This window comes from Homo sapiens, chromosome 7 (genome assembly GCF_000001405.40).
Source record: "Homo sapiens chromosome 7, GRCh38.p14 Primary Assembly".
NCBI lineage: Eukaryota > Metazoa > Chordata > Mammalia > Primates > Hominidae > Homo > Homo sapiens.
Window position 1 is genome coordinate 72,489,906 of NC_000007.14, and position 14,656 is coordinate 72,504,561.

Sequence of the window (14,656 nt, forward strand, 5' to 3'; positions counted from 1 at the left end):
AGGAAGTCCACATATGGCTGGATCCTCATATGAAGCCAAGTCTCCTGGCTCCTAGCCAGGGCTCTCTAGACAGCCTAGTGGAGACCATTCCAGATAAAAATTACTTTCTTTGGTGTCTTTGCTGTCTTAGGCAAAGGAATTGCAAGTAAAGCTTGAAGAGATTAAGGCTAAAGAAATAAGTGGGAAGAAATAGAGACCATGGCTTCTCCTTGGCAAATAGAGGAAGACCTTCCACATTAGTAGAGTTCAAAAGAGTCCTCCAGAAATGGTCGTCTATAGTGTGTCTTTCCACATCAATCTAACCCCCAAGGGCTTAGGGATTCCAGCAAGTAGAAGACCTTTAGAAAATGCTTATACAGTATGATCTCAATTATGCAATTATAAAATAAAACAAAATAAACAAAAACACTGTGTGGACAAAAAGACTGGCAGAAAATACTATAAAATGTTGACAGAGAGGGTTATATAGAGCAATGACTCTGGAGTCAGGCAGACGCGGATTTTCATCTCCTCTGCCATTTACCCACTGTGCTGCCGTGGCCATGTTGTCTAACTTCTCTGACCTCAATTTCCTCCTCTACAGTAGGAATAATAGCACCTACCTCAAAGTGTTTGATATGGTTTAGCTCTGTGTCCCCACCCAAATCTCATGTTGAATTGTGGTCTTCAGCGTTGGAGGAGGCGCCTGGTGGGAGGTGACTGGATCATGGGGGGCAGATTTCCCCCTTGCTGTTCTCCTGATAGTGAGTGAGTTCTCACGAGATCTGGTTGTTTTAAAGTGTGTAGTACTTCCCCTTTGCACTTTCTCTCCTGTCACCATGTGAAGATGTGCTTGCTTCCCCTTCACCCTTCCACCATGATTGTAAGCTTCCTGAGGCCTCCCAGCCATGCTTCCTGTACAGCTTGCAGAACTATGAGTCAATTAAAGCTCTTTTCTTCATAAATTACTCAGTCTCAGGTAGTTCTTTAGGCAGTGTGAAAATGGACTAATACAGTGTTGTTGTGAAAATTGCATTATATAATGTATGTAATGCCTAGTGCTTAAAATGATGCTCAAGGCCGGGCGCGGTGGCTCACGCCTGTAATCCCAGCACTTTGGGAGGCCGAGGCGGGTGGATCACGAGGTCAGGAGATCGAGACCATCCTGGATAACATGGTGAAACCCTGTCTCTACTAAAAATACAAAAAAATAGCCAGGCGTGGTGGCAGGCGCCTGTAGTCCCAGCTACTCGGGAGGCTGAGGCAGGAGAATGGCGTGAACCCGGAAGGCGGAGTTTGCAGTGAGCCAACCAGCCTGGGCAACAGAGCGAGACTCCGTCTCAAAAAAAAAAAAAACAAAAACAAAAACAAAAAACAAAATGATGCTCAAAAATTGGTGGTTGCCCAGGTGCAGTGGCTCATGTCTGTAATTCTAGCACTTTGGCAGACTGAGGCGGGAAGATCAGTTGAGGCCAGGCCTTCAAGAGCAGCCTGGGCAACAGAGCAAGATCCTATTTCTGCAAAAAGTTAAAAAATTAGCCAAGTATGGTGGTGTGCACCTGTAGTCCTAGCTACTCAAGAAGCTGAGGCAGGAGAATCGCTTGAGCCCAAAAGGTTGAGGTTGCAGTGAGCTATGATTGCACTACTGCAGCCCAGCCTGGGCAACATGGTAAGACTCTGTCTCAAAAAGAGAAAAAAATGGTGTTCTGCAGCCTGACAAGGGTTCTTTTCTTTCACGTTCATTCCATGAGGCACTTCACTGGGGCCTTCAGGACTGCTGTGTGCAAATAAAGCCCATTTCTTCAGGACAAGCCTCTGCCCTGTGCAATTAGCTGCAATGGGGAGGTAGTGGGGAAATGAAAACTCATAGAGTAGAGAGGAAGACCACTGCTCACAACTGCACTTTTATCCTCTCATTAAGTGACCAGAGGCCCTGAAAGAACACACCAACGGTCATTTTTTGCACAAGTAGCAAACACTGAGACACTGTTCCAAACAGCAAGGTAATTCAAGATGCCATAAGTTATGTCCTCTTGTTGCAAATATTACATAACAGATAGAATTTTCCCTTTAACTAAGATATGGGGCAAACTATGGAGGCCAAACAAGGGACTCCAACTCTCAAAGGCAGTTTCTCCAGTGCCCTCATCATGCTCCCAATCTCATCTCTACCCTTGGGCTCAAAGGATCAGGCACCTAGGCTAGGCCACAGCTTTTCAAATTACAACTACTGCAAACAACAGAGGTAGCCGACAGGTAAGACACAAACAGAAATGTGCCACCTTGGCCTTCAGTGTGAACTACATTTGTTCTCAAGAGTGTTTAAGCCAATAGCTCATGGAATTTAAAACTGAGAATGAACTTAAATGTCTAAGCCTTGGTTTCCCATATAAGACTCAATCTATTGACATACCCAAGGTCAGAGAGTTAGTGGCGTGATCTTGGTCAATTCAAATAGCAAAGCCAGGTCTAGAAGCCAAGCCTCCTAACTGCCAGCCAAAGATGCTTCCTCTAAAGATGGATTTTGTTTTGTCCCACATTGCTGGGTTGATTGGTTCCACCCTTTGGGAGGTGCTTACTACAGGGGCTGTTGTACAAGATGGAGCAACGCAGATCTTGCATGCAAGTTGGGTGAGAATTGGAAGCAAGGCCTTGCCACCTGTGTAGTCCTGCGGCTGCTGTTTCTCACAGTCACAAGCTGTCACAGACCTCCAGCTAATGCCAGCAGGGCTGTGGGGGCACCATGCCAACCGCTGGGTCAGCCCTCGTGGCTCTAATAGTTGGACTAGTGATTAGAATGAAAGTACCCACTCTTATCTGGACCTGGTCATTATCTGTGAATGGGGACAACAGATGAGCCCCTCACAGCACCATGGCAACGATCAGAAAATACACTGGCTGCCGAGCACCGGAACAGTCGTGCTCCTGCAATGCATCCCTGCTGGCACATGCTATCCAGGACGTATGGACAATGGTATGTTCGATCCTCAGAAAATCGTCATCTCCATCACAGATGACTAACACATTTGCAGAGACTAAATCACAAGGACAACAAGATAAATGTAAAAATGTAGCTGAACACGAGTATTCTTTTTTACAGCTTTGAGATAGAATTCACCCATTGAAAGTATGCAGTCCAGTGGTTTTTAGAATACTCACAGAATTTGGCAACTATCACCACAACCTAATTTTAAAACATTTTCATCACCCCCGAAAGAAACTCCACACCCTTTAGCTGATATTCCCCAGTCTCCCGCCATCTCCCCGGGTCTCCCACCACCTCCCCGGGTCTCCCACCATCTCTAGGCAGCCACTAATCTCTGTCTCTATAGATTTGCTTATTCCAGACATTTCACAGAAATGGTATCATACAATATGTAGTCTTTTATGATGACTAAATGGCCTCTTTCATTTAGCATAATGTTTTCAAGGTTTGTCCATGTGATCAATTATTCTTTTTTTTTTTTCCTTTGAGACAAAGACTGACTCTGTCACCCGGGCTGGAGTGCAGTGGTGCAATCTTGGCTCACTGCAGCCTCCACCTCCCAAGTTGAAGTGATTCTCCTGACTCAGCCTCCCGAGTACCTAGGACTACAAGCATGCACCACCACTCCCAGCTAATTTTTGTATTTTTAGTAGAAACAGGGCTTCACCATGTTGGCCAAGCTGGTCTCGAAATCCTGACCTCAGGTGATCCATCCGCCTCAGCTTCCCAAATTGCTGGGATTACAGGCATGAGCCACTACACCTGGCCGATTAATTATTCTTATCATAACTCTTACAGCATCTTTTCTAGATCTTGAAGCCCTTCTGAAATGTCCTCAAACATTTTGGTTACTATTGGAAGGAAAACAAATTCTATTTACCCAAGTTTTTAGTGTGCTAGTGCAGGTGGCATTGTGTTATTGCTGAGATAAGGTCAATCAATTTATTTATCTGTATCAACAGCCACTAAATACTGGGCTTAAAAAATATTTAGTGTGCTTTGTGGGTGTAGTTTTCTCATCATGTATAAGTCTAGGGCTTGTGGCAAGAAGCAATTATTCCCAAAATAACACACTTTGGAAGACTGACACAGGAGAATCGCTTCAGGCTAGGAGTTCCAGACCAGCCTGGGCAACATAGAGAGACCTCGTCTCCACAGAAAAATGAAAAAATAAGCTGGGCATGGTGGTGCATGCCTGTAGGCTCAGCTACTCAGGAGGCTGATGCAGGAGAATCGCTAAGCCCAGGGGTTCAAGGCTGCAGTGAGCCATGATTGCGCCACTGAACTCCAGCCTGGGCAACAGAGCAAGACCTTGTCTCTAAAAATCTGAGCCCCGTGGAACTTGGAACAACTCTCTTTCACCTGATGGATGTTCGTGCATTCGGGGATGCACAACACTGCCCTCTGCTGGACAGTGTTCCAGGAAGACTAAAAAAGTCAGTAGAATACACCAGTCAGAAATGGCACCAAAGGTCCAGAGGACCTGCTAGCAAGCTTACCTTTATTTGTTCACTAATCAAAGAACACTTAAAGGGCACCCACGCCGTGCCAGGCACTGTCCTGGTAGTAACGCAAAGATAGGCAGTGACTATTGCCCTCCAAGTGCTCCTTGTTAGAGAAGTTCTTTTTGACGCAAGCTGGGACACCTCCCCACCTGCGGGAATTCCCTGGACCTCAACTTTGCCCAGAACACATGTCTCGGGTACCACATCAAAGGCAACACAGGCCGGGCGCGTTGGCCCATGCCTGTAGCCCCAGCACCGTGGGAGACCAACACTGATTGCTTGATGCCAGTCTGGGCAATATAGCGAGACCCCATCTCTACAAAAAAAAAAAAATTATTTTAATTACCCAGGTATAGTTGGGCACACCTGCAGTCCCAGCTACTCAGGAGGCTGAGGAGGAAAGATCGCTGGAGCTCAAGAGTTCGAGGCTGCAGTGAGCTATGATTGTGCCACTGCACTCCAGCCTGGGGGACAGAGAAAGACCCTGTCTCAAAAATAATAATAATAATAATAATAAGATTGTTCCTCTCCATATGGTCCTCCCCAAGGGCTGTGTGAGTGCCCTTATGGCATGATAGCTGGCTTCCCCAAAATAACACCTGTAAGCTGCAACGCCTGCATGACCTGGTCTTGGAAATCACCCCCTATTACTTCCACTTTCTTCTGTGAGCCACACAGCCAGCTCAATCCAATGAGGGAGGGACCCACACAAGTGCATGAATTCTAGGAGGCAAGAATCATTGAGGGCCATCTTGGAGTCTGACCATTGCGTGATGATTCCATTTTTCTTCCATTTTCCATTCCCATTTGAAGGTCAAAATCCAGATTCCTAACTGTTGTTTGAGTCCACCCTTTAAATTTCTGCCAGGTGTTCATCCAATCTCTACCCAAATCCTCCTTGGGCAGGAGTCCAAGGTCCTCCAGCTCTGACTGGTCTGTCCTCAGATGGCACTGACTCTTGGAGATCTCCTACCCAGGCTGGGTCAGTTCCTCCTCGTGTGAGTCCTTCAGTTAGTTAAAAATAGCAACCACGGTCCTTCAGTAAATATTGATTGAGACCTACTCTGCACCCAACCCACTGTGCTAGCTGCTAGGGACATTGCAGGGAACAAGGCACAGTCTTTGTCCCAAGAACTCATTTTGGTTTGGCATCCCTTGCTCCATTCAAGCAGGTCCATGCCACACCCCATGAGCAAAAGACCCCTAAGCCTGACCTCAAAGAAAACCCCTCTCTGTTAGTCAAGGCTCTTCTGGTAGCAAATAACAGAGAACAAAACTCAAATGGCCTCAAGAAAACAGAGAAGTGTGGACAAACGGTGGGCTATAAAGTTGCTTGGAATCTGAGGCAAATCGTTATTGCTTCCGAAATACAATTGAAAAGATGTGAAGCTGATGGATAGAAAGCCACAGAATTTTTAATATTGCTCTGATATCTAGCATCCTTCCTGAACTTTTATTTTAATTAAAATTGCTTCTATAGATTCTTTCAGATTTGTATATCATGGGCAGATAATTCTATTTCTGTTTCTTCTATTCCAATTTGTTATTGTTTTCAGTTTTTTTGTTTTGTTTTGATGCTCTGTTGCCCAGGCTAAGGTGCAGTGGCACAATATTGGCTCACTGCAACCTGTACCTCCCAGGTTCAAGAGATTCTCCTGCCTCAGTCTCCCAAGTAGCTGGGACTACAGGCATGCATCACCATGCCCAGCTAATTTTTTGTATTTTTATTAGAAACGGGTTTTTGCCATGTTGGCCAGGCTGATCTCGAACTCCTGACCTTAGGTGATCCACCTGCCTCGGCCTCCCAAAGTGCTGGGATTACAGGTGTGAGCCACCATGCCCGGCCTCATTCCAATTCTTACACCTTTTCCTTTTTGCTTATTTTTACACTTGTTAAGACCTCCAGTATAATGGAGAATGAAAGTAATGATAGTACACATCACTACTTTATTTTTAAATACTTTTTTCTTCTAGCTCTGATAATGGGGGATAGTTTGTATCAGAAAAAACCATCTGTTGATAACAACTGTAAACAATGGACAAAATATTAAAACAACTATATCATGTCCTTGGAGAGTAGCCAAAGCCTGGCAGAAATTAGGGAACTATAAGCCTTGGAAAAATGGAAGTACACAATGTGAGATTCAAGTTTAACCAGCTTTTCTTCTGAAAGCACTCTTCAATTTGTTTGGGGCCTAGGGACTAGAATTCAATCAAAAAGCTAACAGTTGGGTTGGGTGTGGTGGCTCACGCCTGTAATCCCAGCACTTTGGGACACCGAAATGAGAGGATTGTTTAAGACCTGGGCAACAAAGCAAGACCTCACCTCTACAAAAAATTTTTAAAATTAGCCAGGTGTGGTGGTGTGCACCTGTAGTCCCTGTAGTCAGCAACTAGAGAGGCTGAGGTGGGAGGATTCCTTAAGCCCAGGAAGTTGAGGCTGCAGTGAGCTGTGATCGCACCACTGTATTTCAGCCTGGGCAACAGAGCAAGACTTATTAAGCTAAAGTTTTATTAGGGCTTATAGTCTTATGAGGCCAAAGAATCATAGGTGAGAATTTGGAGCTGCCAGAGAACTGGAACTGAGAGACAAGGAATGTGGAAAAGGAAGGAGCCACAAAATCCTTATGTAAGTACGCTCTCAAATCCTTGGCTGAATTTTAACGTCTGTGCATGGAGGAAAGATTCCAATGAGCCCAGAGGAAAGGAATAGCTGAAAGGGAAAAAAAGCTGAGCAGAGATTTTAGCAGGCGCTCAGTGCTATTAATAGAATGACAGACTTGGCCGGGCACAGTGGCTCATGCCTGTAATCCTAGCACTTTGGGAGGCCAAAGCGGGTGGATCACCTGAGGTCAGGAGTTCAAGACCAGCCTGAACAATATGGTGAAACCTCGTCTCTACTAAAAATACCAAAACTAGCCAGGCGTGGTGGCACGCATCTGTAATCCCAGCTACTCAGGAGTCTGAGGCAGGAGAATCGCTTGAACCTGGGAGGCGGAGGTTGCAGTGAGCTGAGATCACGCCACTGCACTCCAGCCTGGGTGACAGAGTGAGACCCCATCTCAAAAAAAACAAAGGAATGACAATGACAAACTTTAGAGTTAAAATCTCACCAACTTAAAGGGATTTGATAAATACTTCAAGATTTTTAATTACTCCTCAAAGGGCCATGCCCTGAGATTAGGAAGCACATGCTAGGGTTAAGAGCTACATCCTAGAAACGAGCAAAATCAAAACAGAACCATGAAACAAAGCTTTCAACTAAACTTCTGGGTGATCTGCCAGTGGGTCTACTAGATCTGCTAGAACAGAATTTAACACTCTTCAGAGGAAGATAACAGAATGCAGAGTCTCTACAATGTATCATCCACAAGGTTATTATACAATAAAAAAATTACCAGACACGTGAAGAAGTAACAAAATGTGACGACTAATAAATAGAGGGGAAAAAACAGTTAATAAATAGTATCCCCACAGGCAACCCATGTGTTGGTATTGAGAAAAGGACTTTAAGATAATTCATAACTATACATTAAAGTTTTACAGAAGAGAAATTGGTTGTAATGGATAAAGAGACAGAGAATCTCAGAAAAGATGTGGAAACTCTCAAAAAGTACCAAGAAGAAATCTTAGAACTGAAAAATACAATATGAGAAATTTTTAAAAACCATTACACAAGATTTGTAGAAAATTGAATATGGGGGATGGGGAAAGAAAGGTTATTGATTTAAAGACAGATAAATAGATAAATTATCCAAAAGTAATCCAATGTATAAAAAAGGTGAAAGCCTCAATATCAAGTAATACCAAATAGATCCATAATACCAAACCTCCCTAATGTGTATTTGCCATCTCAGGAGGAGGGAATAGAATCGAGAATTTTTAAAATTTCAAGAAATATTGGCCAAAATTTCTCCAACTTTGGTTATAAACATCAAATCCTATTTATAAGAGGCTTAACAGGCCTCCAAAAAATTAGTTAAAAAAAAAACTTATACCTAGCCACATCATGGATAAAAACCAAAAAGAAATAGAAAATCTCAAAAGCAGTCAGGAAAAAAAGACACATTACATACAAGGAAGCAATAATAAAAATAACAGCCAACTTTGTACTCAATAAATGGAGCCTGGAAGACAAGGAAATTACATCTTTAAAGTATAAAAAGAAAAAACTGTCAACTTAGAAGTTTATGTCCAGTAAAACTATTCTTCAAAAATGAATGCAAAGAAAACAAGACATTTTTAGATAAATTCAGTTGAGATCATTTTTTGCCAGCAGATCTTTACCACGAGAAGTGCTAAAAGAAATTTTTTAGGCTGAAGGGAAATAATATTATTTGGAAAAGGAATACTACAAGTTATTAATTAATAGTTGATGGATTCATGAGTTTTCTTTTTATCACAAATGCAAAATATCATTATGAACTCATTCCTCATTATGATAAATAAAGCACTAATTTAGGTACTTTTTTTAATGTTTTAAAATAAACATTCTTATGAATTATTCATATACTTATTTTGCAAAATATCAATTTAAGATAAATTGACTCATACACAGACTCATACGCAAATAATTGTTCCTTGGAAAAAGGAACAATACTATTATAAAAAGGAATTAGTTAATATTGGGGCAAATATAAAAGAATAATTGTCTATAAGGAATAATTTTTTTTGAGACAGAATCTCACTCTGTAACCCAGGCTGGAGTGCAGTGGTGCAATCTCAGCTCACTGCAACCTCCACCTCCTGGGTTCAAGTGATTCTCCTACCTCAGCCTCCCTAGTAGCTGGGATTACAGGAACCTGCCACCACACCTAGCTAATTTTTGTATTTTTAGTAGAGACGAGGTTTCACCATGTTGGCCAAGCTGGTCTCAAACTCCTGACTTCAAGCGATCCACCCACCTCAGCCTCCCAAAGTGCTGGAATTACAGGCATGAGCCACTATGCCTGGCCAGCTGAAAGAAATCTTTTAGGCTAAAGAGGAATAATATTATTTGGAAAAGGAACACTACAAATTATTAATTAATAATTGATTGATTCATGAGTTTTGTTTTCATCACAAATGCAAAATGTTATTATGAACTAATTCCTCATTATGATACATAAATAAGGCAATAATTTAGGCACTATTCTTCTGAATGTTTTAATATAAACATTCTATAAATTATTCATATTATTTTGCAAAAAAATCAGTTTAAGATAAACTGACTCACATGCAGACTCATATGCAAATAATTGTTCCTTGGAAAAAGGAAAAATACTATTACAAAAAGGAATGAGTAGTATTGGAGATGGTTAATATTTGGGCAAATATAAAAGAATCTATAAAAAATTATTTTTTAAGAATTTGCCATTAATTATAATTTTTGCTGCATACTTCCGCAAAACTTTCTTTCTTTCCTTCCTTCCTTCCTTCCTTCCTTCCTTCCTTCCTTCCTTCCTTCCTTCCTTCTTTCTTTCTTTCTTTCTTTCTTTCTTTCTTTCTTTCTTTCTTTCTTTCTTTCTTTCTTTCTTTCTTTCTTTCTTTCTTTCTTTCTATCTTTCTCTTTTTTGAGACAGTGTCTCGCTCTGTTGCCCTGGCTGAAGTACAGTGGCACGATCTTGGCTCACTACAACCTCCGCCTCCCAGGCTCAAGCGATTCTCCTGCCTCCGCCTCCCTAGTAGCTGGGATTACAGGCATGCACCACCAAGTTGGGCTAATTTTTGTATTTTTAGTAGAGAGAGGGTTTCACCATGTTGGCCAGACTGATCTCAAACTCCTGACCTCAGGCTATCCACCCACCCCAGCCTCCCAAAGTGCTGGGATTACAGATGTGAGCCACCTCGCCCGGCCTCAGCTGAAACTTTCTGTGTCTCTTTTGTGGGTCTCATGAACTTCTGTTCGTTCCTTCTTTTTTTTTTTTTTTTTTTTTTTTTTTTTTTGAGACAGTCTCACTCCGTCGCCCAGGCTGGAGTGCAGTGTCGCGATCTCGGTTCACCACAACCTCCGCCTCCCGGGTTCAAGCAATTCTCCTGCCTCAGCCTCCCGAGTAGCTGGGACTGTAGGCATGCACCACCACACTGGGCTAATTTTTGTATTTTTAGTAGAGACAGGGTTTCACCTGTTGGCCAGGCTGGTCTCAAACTCCTAACCTCAAGTGATCCACCTGCCTCAGCTTCCCAAAGTGCTGGGATTACAGGCGTGAGCCACCGTGCCCAGCTTGCTCTTTCCTTCTTTATCATCCCCTCTCCGCTGTTTATATAACCTGTCCAATTCCTGTGATTACTGATATTCATTTATTTAATGAGTAACATTTTGTTTCTTAAAATCTAAAAAAAAAACTAAAACTGATATGAAAACATACACTCAAAATTCTGAGTGATGAGGCACTAATGTTATTATCTTATTCTTTGTGCATTTCTATTTTTAATTTTTTTGTTTACAATGTCCAGTTACTTCCATTCCAGATTCACTGTGTATTAATCAATTTATCTTAAATTGATTTTTTGCAAAATAATTATATGAATAATGTATAAGAATGTTTACATAAAATCATTCAAAAGAACAGTACCTAAATTGTTGAATTATTGATTTATCATAATAAGGAATTAGTTAATAATAAAATTTTGCATTTTTAATGAGAATAAAACTCATTAATTAATAAACTTTTCCAGGATTCTTCTCTTTTGCTGCCTCCTAAAGACAATTCTGTCTCTCCTCTCTTCCCATATCTTCCAAGAAGAGCTTTAGTGATACAAAATCAGGAGAATGGGTAGAAAGACACCAGGATTGGAGATAAAATACTCAGAAATAAGTTGGGGTAACAAGTGAATAATAGTTTCAAGGATGAGTGGCTTCAGAGTAGCTAGACATGTAAGAAAACCACAGAGGAGTCCAGGTGTGGTGGTTCAAGCTTGTAATCCTAGCACTTTGGGAGGCCAAGGTGGAAGGATCACTTGAGACCAGGAGTTCAAAACTAGCCTGGGCAACATAGTGAGGCCACGTCTCTATTAAAAAAAAAAAAAAAAAAAAAAAAAAAGACAAAGAAAAAGAGAAGAAGAAAGAGGAAGAAGAAGAAGAAAAAAGAGGAAGAGGAAAAAGGAGGAGGAGGAGGAAGAAGGAAGGAGGGAAGGAAGGAAGGATGGAAGGAAGGAAGTAAAGAAGGAAAGAAGGAAAGGAAAGGAAGGAGGGAGGGAGGGAGGGAAGAGAAGAAAGAACATTCTAAGAACCATGGCTAGGAGTTATGAATTGAATGGATTATAATATTCTTGGCTGGGCGCAGTGGCTCACTACTGTAATCCCAGCACTTTGGGAGGCTGAGGTGGGCGGATCATGAAGTCAGGAGTTAGAGACCAGCGTGACCAATATGGTGAAACCACATCTGTACTAAAAATATAAAAATTAGCTGGGCGTGGTGGTGGGCGCCTGTAGTCCCAGCTACTTGGGAGGCTGCAGCAGGAGAATCGCTTGAAACCAGGAGGTGGAAGTTGCAGTGAGCTGAGATCATGCCACTGCACTCCAGCCTGGGCAACAGAGCGAGATTTCGTCTCAAAAAAAAAAAAAAAAAAAAATATATATATATATATATATACACACATATATATATATAAATATATATACACACATATATATATAAATATATATACACACATATATATATTCTTTAAATGATCTAAGTAAACGTTAGAAAGACTTTTTAATTATTATTGTTTCTTTGCCAGTGCTAAGGGCCTCAAGATTTATTTGAGTTACATGTTCATAACTGAACATTTATGAAGTAACTGAAATTTTTTTCCTGCTGCCGTATTAGAAGAAACCTTAAAACCTTAGGAGGGACGAGGTCAGAATATTACATTTTGCTGAATTGCTTGTGGGGCGGGGAGGAATTATTTCATTTAAATACAGTGACAATAGAAGGGATTGGCTTTAAAATCTTCAGATTTTTTAACTGAATTCTGAAGATATAATTTCTTAAACATCTGAGCACTTTGACCTGTCTTTCAAACTGTGACATCTTCTCCAACTTTACTAAAATATATTACATATATATACAATATATATTATATATAAATATAATTCAGAAACCTTACCATGTCTCTATTAACTACTGTTACAGGCATTTAAACATTTTAAATAGACTTCCCCATCTGCCATTCTCACAAAGTAATCACTTTCACCATATTTTAGCTTTGCAGGTACAAGTATTTACCTTCGCATTATAGAATTTTCTATTTAAACTACTATTTCTTGATTTTTCAGTTTTAGGTAGTAACTATTGACTTCCTAATATGGAAGATGAAGATTCAACTTTCTTATATCCCTTCCCTCATCTTCCCAATATAGTTATAATTTTTGGTTAAATCCATATTCAGTGCCTATGTAAATATTCCTGGCTGAGTGGCACACTAGGAAAACAATTTCTCTCTTATATGGCATTTTATTTTCCTTGGAGTTCATAATTGTCTCATTTTTTTCCTTTGCTTGTTTTCTATAACTGTAAAAAGAAATTGTAGGCCGGGTGCAGTGGCTCACACCTGTAATCCCGGCACTTTGGGGAGCCAAAGGAGGCAGATTGCTTGAGGTCAGGAGTTCGAGACCAGCCTGGCCAACATGGCAAAACCCCGTCTCTACTAAAAATATAAAAATTAGCCAGACATGGTGGCTATAATCCCAGTTATTCAGGAGGCTGAGGCAGGAGAATCGCTTGAATCTGGGAAGCGGTGGTTGTAGTGAGCTGAGATCGTGCCACTGCACTCCAGCCTGGGCGACAGAGTGAGACAGCATCTCAAAAAAAGAAAAAAAAAATGTATATAATTGTAAACCTCTGGCTATGAGTTGTTCTGCGTGTCAAATGGGGGCAGGGGCTGGGACGCTAGCACTATTCAGGATGATCATTTTTACTTAACTCCCCTATTTCCATTGCAGTGCCCTGACCCTCACCTTCATCCAATGTTCCTAAGCCAAACTCCATGTAGATTAAGCCCTTCAGAGAGGACTCCTTCAATGCTGTGCCATCAGGGGCAGTCACTGAGGTGGTGGTGCTCTCGGGGGTATTTGGGGGTCCAGTTGCTTCTCATAGGATTTCCACCAATCCCATTTGGCACTCAAGCTATCTTGCACTTTCAGAAATACCTGCAGCCTTCCGGGGTTCGGACATGCAGCTCAGCTTGCCTTTCACTTTTCCCTTCTGCAAGCTTGAGTTTCTCTTTTCTCCAATTTGCTATTCATCCCATGTCTATTTTCTTCTTATTTCCAGCTTCCCAAATTTTGGTTTCTAGCCTAACTTTTCCTGAAAACCGAGGAAGCCAGTACCAGTAACCTTCTCTGAGTCTGTTTTCCTAATCTATTAGACGAAACAGCCATGATCTCCTCTCCAGCACCTGGACTCAAATCCCAAAGCATCCTTGGTTTATATACATCCTTGCAGCCTCTGTTTGCTACCGAGATCTCTGAGGGCACTCTGGCCAGAGAGGAGGATCGCAGGAAATGCTAATGCTTACCCTACACCGTCAGTCAAGGCGAGAATGCCTTGGTTTTTTAATGGCTCCCAGGGAATTTCACAGAAACGTAGTTTATTCATCTTTTGTATGACTGCCCCTATTTTCAAGAGCTGTAGCAACAAATCACCCCATAGAGGAGTGTGGGTGGGAGGAAGGGAGAGAGAGGAAAATAACGAAGAGAAAAGGGAACAAGACAAACTGCTCTATCCCGACTTTCATGCACATGCCCCTGTCCCGAAGTTGGGAGACTCACATCACAGTGACCACAGTGGAGGCTCAGGCTGAGAATCCCACCGCATAAAGGTTAAGATGACAAAGGCAAACGGATTGCTGTGCCCGGCTTCATAGGCAATAAATCCCATGTGTCTTTCATCCTTCCCACCCTCTCCCCGGTGAGTCTATTTCCATGATGAAATACCATTCCACAAGCCCAGCTGGCTGATGGATTATGAAACATACAAGACTAGCTCCGGTGAGCCCTTTGAAGTGGATTGAAACACGGGCTTTGTAAAAATGGATGTCATCCAGGCTCCCTGTTTCAAGGTTGGCAGCATAATTTTCTTTCTTAAGTGTAGGTCTCTACTTGGTACTGCAGATGGCTTTACCTCGGCCTGAACATGAATTACAGGCTCCCTCCAGGGTAACTCACAGCTCTCTCATTTCCTCTACCTCTTCCCACACACACAGGGGTGAGGGGAGAGGC

At 41.9% G+C, this 14,656-nt stretch overlaps 1 protein-coding gene across 1 annotated transcript in view, besides 1 other annotated feature; it reads right to left on the reverse strand.

The window, feature by feature from the left end:
* CALN1 (calneuron 1) overlaps positions 1–14,374 on the reverse strand; it is a 724,789-nt gene extending 710,415 nt beyond the window's left edge. Inside the window, exon 1 of the mRNA XM_017012677.2 lies at positions 14,207–14,374. Within this exon, the coding sequence (XP_016868166.1) occupies positions 14,207–14,208 (2 nt within the window). The 5' untranslated portion in view covers positions 14,209–14,374. The remainder of the gene's footprint in view (positions 1–14,206) is intronic.
* Positions 4,103–4,162: an enhancer, noted in NCBI's record as "active region_26117". NCBI's record gives its function as "activates an Ori minimal core promoter by ATAC-STARR-seq in GM12878 lymphoblastoid cells {active_cell/tissue: GM12878}" and the evidence as "EXISTENCE:reporter gene assay evidence [ECO:0000049][PMID:35858748]".
* Positions 14,375–14,656: the final 282 nt, after the last annotated feature.